Source organism: Homo sapiens, chromosome X (assembly GCF_000001405.40).
Source record: "Homo sapiens chromosome X, GRCh38.p14 Primary Assembly".
Lineage (NCBI taxonomy): Eukaryota > Metazoa > Chordata > Mammalia > Primates > Hominidae > Homo > Homo sapiens.
This window is the reverse complement of record NC_000023.11, coordinates 128,045,667-128,053,851: the sequence shown is the minus strand read 5'-3', so window position 1 is coordinate 128,053,851 and position 8,185 is coordinate 128,045,667. Positions and strand designations below refer to the sequence as shown.

Here is an 8,185-nt window from a genome sequence, read left to right as displayed (position 1 = left end):
AATTTGACAAAACTGGTATAAAAGTTTTACTCCAAAAATGACAATATTCCATGAAGAAACTAAAATAATATGCAAGTGAATGGCAAAATAAAATCACATGTTCATGGGTTGGAAGAGTTGACGTTATTAAGATGGTAATATTCCTTAAATTGATCTAATGATTCAAGGCAATCTCTATCAAAATTCCATATGACATTTGCGTAGGAATTGGAAAGTTGATCCTAAATTGCATACTGAATTGCAAGGGACCCAAAATGGCCAAAACAATCTTGAAAAGGAAGAACAAAGAAGTACTCAAACTTCTTAACTACAGAATTTATTACAGAGTGACAGAAATCAATGCAGTGTGCTACCAGCATGATGATAGACATATAGATCAATGGAATAGGGCAGTGAGTCCAGAAATAAACCCAGGTGTCTGTCTATGGTCAATTGTTGCTTGAAAAAGATACTAGTCATTCTATGGGGCAAAATTATCCTCTTCAGCAAATGGTGCTGGAACAGCCAGATAGAACCATATTCAAAAGAATGAAGTTGAAAACTTAATGCACACCATAAATAAAAAATGAACTCAAAATTAACAAAAACTAAATGTAATAGTTAAAAGTTTAAAATTCTTACAAGAAAACAAAAAGATAAATTTAAGAATCTTAAATTTTATAATGAATGCTTACATATGACACAAAATATGAACAACAAATGATAACAGAGAAACTGGACTCCTTTAAAATTTAAAAGTTTTGTAATTTCAAGAACACTAACAAAAAAGTGAAAAGACAATACAAGAATAAAAGAACATGTATGCACATAATGTATCTGATAAACACCAGACTCTTGAATGTGTAAAGAACAGTTACAATGGAATAATCAAAAAACAACCTTATAAAAAAGGAACAAAGGGTCTGCATAGACATTTCTCCCAAGAAGGTATTAGAATGGCCAATAAGCACATAATAAAGATTCTCAACATTGATACTTAAAGCTGCAAATCAAAACCACAATAAGATAACATTTCACACACACTAGAATGCCTAGAATCATAAAGTCAGAAAATAGAATTTAGAAGCATGTGGAGAAGTAGGAGCATTCCTACAGCGACTGTGGGAATGCAAAATGTCACAGCCACTTTGGAACAAAGAACTTACAGAAATTAAAATCAAATGATTTAACATACAGTTGTCATATAACTCAGCAATTCTATTCTCAAATATATATCTAAAAAAATGAAAACATAATTCCAAGCAAAAGCATGTAGAATAGTGTTTCTCATAGCTCTGTAGGTATGATTTGCTTTCCTTGGCTTTGTATCTGACCAAGTAGGGAGTACTATTGGCTCAGAGGCCCCACCCGGCCCCTCTGATGCTCACTGAGGACAATTGTTGCCTTGGCTGGATTGTGACATAGAGGGCAATCACCCCTCATGTTGCCTCAGCAGGCCCTGAGCCTACAGAATGGAGATAAGATTCAGAGGTTGAGGATGGGGTGTCCTGGTGGACTGAAGGTAGCCTACTAGCTGTACATGGGTGACAACTTGAAACTTCAGAACCCTGAAGTTTAAAAAATTCTAAAGGTGCCTGTCATCTCAGAGAGTGACGTAAGTGTTCTTTCTTTATTTGGGGGAAGTCCAGGAGAACATATTACAGACATGTTTAATCCACATGCATTAGATGTTCCTGCTGTAATTTTTGACAATGGTTCAGGACTCTGCAAAGCAGGCCTGTCTGGAGAGATTGGACCCCGCCATGTCATCAGCTCCGTCTTGGGACATTGTAAATTCAATGTGCCTTTAGCAAGACTTAATCAGAAGTACTTCGTGGGGCAAGAAGCCCTGTACAAGTATGAGGCCCTACATTTGCACTACCCCATTGAGCGTGGACTGGTAACAGGATGGGATGACATGGAGAAACTCTGGAAACATCTCTTTGAGCGGGAGCTTGGAGTAAAACCCAGCCAACAGCCTGTACTTATGACCGAGCCCTCTTTGAATCCTAGGGAAATTCGAGAAAAGCTAGCAGAAATGATGTTTGAGACCTTCAGTGTGCCTGGTTTCTACCTGTCTAATCATGCGGTGGCAGCGCTCTATGCCTCTGCCTGTGTCACAGGCCTGGTGGTGGACAGTGGAGATGGGGTCACTTGCACTGTCCCCATCTTTGAGGGTTACTCCCTGCCTCACGCAGTCACCAAACTCTGTATGGCAGGGAGGGACATCACAGAGCACCTCACCCGGCTCCTCTTTGCTAGCGGGTTTAACTTCCCTTGCATACTCAACAAGGCCGTGGTAAATAACATCAAAGAGAAGTTGTGCTACATCGCCTTGGAGCCAGAGAAAGAGCTACGCAAGAGCCGGGGAGAGGTCCTGGGAGCATACAGACTGCCAGATGGACATGTCATCCACTTTGGGGATGAGCTGTACCAAGTGCCCGAGGTTCTTTTTGCACCTGACCAGCTGGGCATCCACAGCCCAGGACTCTCAAAAATGGTCTCCAGCAGCATCATGAAGTGTGACACTGACATCCAGAATAAACTTTATGCAGACATTGTACTCTCCGGGGGCACCACTCTCCTCCCTGGGCTGGAGGAAAGGCTCATGAAGGAAGTGGAACAGCTGGCTTCCAAAGGTACTCCCATCAAGATCACAGCTTCTCCTGATAGATGCTTCTCTGCATGGATTGGTGCATCCATCATGACCTCTATGAGCAGTTTCAAGCAGATGTGGGTCACCTCGGCAGACTTCAAGGAGTATGGGACATCTGTGGTTCAAAGAAGGTGCTTTTAAAGATCCTTGAGCAGAGGAGACATCTTGAAGTGTCAGATTACAGGAGTACCAGTGGGAGATGGCATTTTCTTCTGGGCTTCAGCATGATGTTCAATAAAAGTTTTGCCATTTCAAGTTTCAGTTTATTCTTAGTAGCACCATAATATATGAGTCATGTCATGAATCTTTAGGTTGCTCTATTACTCTCTTCTTTCCTATGGGCCTGTTAAGTTTTTTTCTCCTAAGAAGATCTTGGGTTATATGTTGAGGTTATGTTCATATAGAGGATTTGTAGCAAACGGTGCCTGGGGCTCATATCTAGGAACTTGATTTGGTAGAATCTCAAGAATCTTTAAATTAAATTATTATCTTAGGTGGTTCTAATAGACCCAGTTCCCAGGAGACTAAATCACGAAGAAAAGTGTGGGCAAAGGAAGGAAATGAAGCAGAACTGGAAATCCTCCACTAGTCTTAGAGTTCAAGTCCTTTTTCCTGGTTTGTCATTTAGTTAGTGCAATAGGGTTCTTGCTGTGCTGTTATGAGATCAAAAATGCTAATTAGAATGGAGAAAAAATTGGGCATAGAAATCACCATTTTCTAAGGCTCTCTAAGCTCAGGGTCCTTGTTCCCAGTTGCAGCATTAAGAATCAGTATTTCTAAATTATTTTTTTATCATTTTTAATTTCAAGGCTCTATATAGCATCATTTTGTTATGGATAAAACACTAGAAACAATAGTTATCAATAAAATAATCATTGAATAAATTATGCATACAGAAATATTTCTTCTCATTAAGTTAATACATATATTAATAAATGTGATTTTATTTAATTATAAGCATTTGGAGAAAAGTACAAAAGTAAAGGCACTACATAGTTTATGCAACTTGAAGAAGAATGGAATGAGAGGTAATGCAGCTGGAAGGAAATGGTGTAACAAATTAAAAAAAAGAAATTATTATATTATAAATTTCAGCCTGAACGAAATAAAACCATTCATCTAAAAAATTATATTTTTTCACATATCTACTCATCATTGCTAGCCTAAATACAACCATGAAAATTGTCAAGCCCTATAGTCACTATAAGTCAATTCTTTTCATTTTTATGTTTATTTGAGAGAGTTGACTTAACAGCAAACTTCTGTTTACCGGTAACTAATCAAAACCACAAAGAAATAAGATAGTGGAATAACACCTTCAAAATGAGTTAGAAAAACTCTACTGTCAGTATAGTATTATATACCCAGGAAAACCATTACAAGAAAGATGGTCATAAAATAAGAGACATTTTTGAATAATAACTAAAAGTACTTACTGTCAGCACACTATTAGCACAGAAAATCTTATAAGATTTACTTAAGGCATATAGAAATAACCCCAGAATAAGATAACATGTTAGAAAAAATAATAAAATTTTAAAATGCTGAAAAGGGGGGTAAATTAAAAAATATTGATGGTATTTATTTATTTATTTGAGACAGAGTTTCACTCTTGTTGTCCAGGCTGGAGTGCAATGGCACGATCTTGGCTCACTGCAACCTCCACCTCTTGGGTTCAAGTGATTCTCCCGCCACAGCCTCCCGAGTCGCTGGGATTACAGGTGCTTACCACCACGCCCAGCTAATTTTTGTTATTTTTAGTAGAGATGGGGTTTCGCCATGTTGGCCAGGCTGGTCTGAAACTCCTGACCTCAGGTGATCCACCCACCTTGGCCTCCCAAAGTGCTGTGCTGGGATTACAGGCGTGAGCCACTGCGCCTGGCTGGTATAAATTTATAGTAGTAAAATAGACAATAAACCTTCCATTGTACAAACATAGCCACAAATCATGAATACTCGTTTGAATTTAAAATATTTAAATACATTTGCATTATTCAGAAAGAAAAGTATTAATTAAACTTAGAATCTTTATGTTGAAACTGAAGAAATTCTGACTATAAAACCTTAAAAATTAACAAAAATATTTAAATTACCCTTATATTACTTAATAATTTAAATAACTTAAATAACTAAATAACCCTTACATTAATTTAAATTCTGATTGTAAAAACCTTAAACATTAAGTTAATTTTCAAATAATGTAAGGATCAAACAACAGTTTTAAATAGAGTAAAAAGAAATTGTAATGGATTTACATACAAAAAGTGAATGATAACAAAATACTAGGTATCAAGATACTGGAATGCAGGTAAAATTGAAATTAGTAAGAAATGCATAGACTTAAATGGTTTATTAGTAAATAAAGAAATGCTGCATATAAATATGCCAAGTACCCAATTGTGGAATTTAATAAAGCAAACAGAATTAACCCAGATAAATTACTAGGAAGTAAAAAGCAGGACATGATAAATTAATGAGCTATTACAGAAAGATAAGGAAGATAAACAAAGAATAATTTGTTCTTTATAAAGATAAAATAAATAGACATACTAATAAAATCACTGAAGACAGAAGAAATGAAAAGTGTAATAATTAGGAAAGAATAAATGCAATTGTCATTACTCAGAAATTATAGAATATTCTTCAAAACACCTAAAGTCAGAAGCACCAAGATGGCTGACTGGAAGCAGCTAGAGTGTGTTGTTCTCACAAAGAGATGACAAAGTGATGAGTAAACACTAGCTCTTTAAGTTGATCACCCAGGAAGCCACATTAGAATTAATTAAAGAAACAGTGGCAACCTACAGAGAGCAGAGAGAAGAGAGGCAGGACAGCCTCACACTGGGATTGGCATGGAGCCAGGGGAGGTTTCCTACCATGGGGAAAAGGTGAGTGAGCAAGAGTCCTTGGGGATCCAAACTTCTACCATGGATCTTAGCAATCTGGGGCAGAAGAGATCCCTCCTGACCCCCTATACCTCCAGATTAACACAGAGATCTGCCTCAAGCACACATGAAGCTCCATGATCCTTGGATCCCTGAAAACCCCAGCATTAGCTGCTATAGCCCTGCCATCAAGGGAGGCCAGCCCCTCTCACATGCCCTAAGGATAGAGTCTGCATCCACAGTGCTGAGGAGCAGACTCCAGACTGGGCTGGGCCCCCAGTGCAGCCTCTCCACCTCTACCTGAGTGCTCCAGTTGGTGGAAGCTCTGCAAATACCTGGGATGGAGCTCCCAGATGTAATTAGCATACCTTCTGTGATTGCCACTGTCAAGGTCCCACCCTACCCTTTTTGCCCTCAGGCTGAAGAAGGAACAAAGAACTGCAGAACTGTTGTGTGCCTCCAACATGCCGTAACTCTCATACAGAAAGGTGGCCTTACTGTTTTCCTCATGAGTTCCTGCCCCTGCTGCTCCTCACCAAACATGGCCTTCTGGCTTGGACCCACAGTGCAGCTGCCCCATCCCCAGCCAATCATTTCGATCAGCAGTGGCTCTTTACTTCTCTGGGGTGGAGTTCCCAGGAGCCACTGAAGGCCCTTCTGCTACTGCCACCTCTGTGGTACCTGCTCTTGCTATCTGCTGGCTGGGGAGAGAAAAAAGAGCCTGATTGCTTTTCTCACACCTTCATAATACTGCAGCTGAACTATAGAGAGAAGGCTAGATTATCTTCTCCAGGAGATGCTACTTCACCTGCTCTTCACAAGGCAGGGCCCCCTGGCTTGGGCCTACATCACAGCCACCCGACTCCTGGATGATCACTTTGATCAGCCATGGCTGTTTGTTTCTCTGGGGTGGAGCTCCCAGAGACAACTGACAGTCTCTCTGCCATTGCCACCACCATGATCCCTGCCTCTTCTGCCCACCAAGTTGTGGATGGAACAAAAAGCCTGAGCTCACTCCAGGGCTGCAGTGCACAGCTCAGGAGTGCTGAACCGAGGTCTGTGGCCACCACTTGAGTGGGAGAGGAGTCCACATTCTCTGAGCGTGAAGAGGGGTGAGCTGCACAAGTTCATGGGCTGCTGTGGAAAGAGGGCATGACAACCTCCACAGAACCAGTCCAGAAGGGGTGTGACCTATCTCCCTGACATGGCCTCTGCCCCAAGGAACCCCCCAGGGTGGAACCCCTTACAACAACAAAAAGGAAACAATGCAGTGCCAATGATTAGAGGGGGCTCCCCGAAAGCCCAGGAATGGACCTGGTGAAGGGGTTGCCTTTCTTCTCACTGCAAAACAGAGAACTACGAATTAAAGAAAATACAAAAAAGCCACATGGCTAAGAGCCCATTTACCACCCATTACTCCTAACCCCCATCTACTATATCACAACCCAAATTACAAAGCAAAAAAAAATTTGCTAATATAGCCCCCTATGAAACAAAGGGCAATAATTCAGCCACAAATCAAGACATTGCACAGAGGCTTGGCCCTCTGAAAACATCCATAAATGAATCCAACTGTCTATACTCTACTTACACCACAGTTAAATGAACATCAACCCTCCCAGTTGAGGAAAAACCAACACAATAACTCAGATAATTCAAAAATCCAAGATGTCTCCTTACTTTTAAACAAGTTCACTAGCTTCCCTGCAATAGTTCTTAACCAGGCAGAAATGACAACATATAATTTAGAATCTGGATTGCAAGGATATTCACAGAGATTCAGGAGAAAGGTGAAATCCAATGCAAGGAATCTAGTAAAATGATATAAGAATTGAAAAATGAAATAGCCATTTTAACAAAGAAGCAAACTGAACTTCTAGAGCGAAAAATTTACTGTAAGCATTTTATATTTACAATCAGAAGTATTAATAGCAGAATAGACAAAGATGAGGAAGGAATCTGAGACCTTGAAGACTAGTTCTTCAAATCAACTCAGTCAGACAAAAATGAAAGAAAAAAGTATTTTAAGAACTGAACAAAACTTTGAAGATCTATAAGATTATGTAAAGAGACCTAGTCTGTGGCTCATTGGCATTCCTGATAAAGTAGGAGGGAGAATAAACAACTTGAAAAATATATTGAGGATATACTCCATGAAAATTTTGCTAGAGAATTTAACATGCAAAGCCAAGAAATACAGAGAACCCCAGCTAGATATTATATAAGAAGACCATCTCAGGTCATATAATAAACGATTCACAAATCTCGACACAAAAGAAAAAAGTCTTGAAAGCAACTAGAGAGAAAGTTTAAGTCACATACACAGGGAACCTCATCAGGTTAGCAGCAGACCCCTCAGTAGAAACCTTACTAGCTAGATGAGATCGGGGGCCTATTTTCAGCATCCTTAGAGAAAAGAAATTCCATTCAAGAGTTTAATATCCCACCCAAATATGCTTCAAAAGTAAAGGAGGAATAAAATCCTTCTCAGACTAGGAAATGCTGAGGGAATTTTTTTCAACTAGACCAGGCTTATAAAGAGGTCATTAAGGGAGTGCTAAACACCCAATTGAAAGAATGAAAGCTTCTACTCCCAAAACACAATTATGCACATAGCCCAAAGCTACTATTAAGCAATCACACAATCAGTCTACATAACAACCAG

General features: G+C 39.5%; 1 protein-coding gene across 1 annotated transcript; it reads left to right on the top strand.

The window, feature by feature from the left end:
• Nucleotides 1,449-2,890, top strand: ACTRT1 (actin related protein T1). The gene has a single exon (NM_138289.4). The coding sequence runs from the start codon at nucleotides 1,646-1,648 to the stop codon at nucleotides 2,774-2,776; it is 1,131 nt and encodes a 376-aa protein (NP_612146.1). The 5' UTR covers nucleotides 1,449-1,645; the 3' UTR covers nucleotides 2,777-2,890.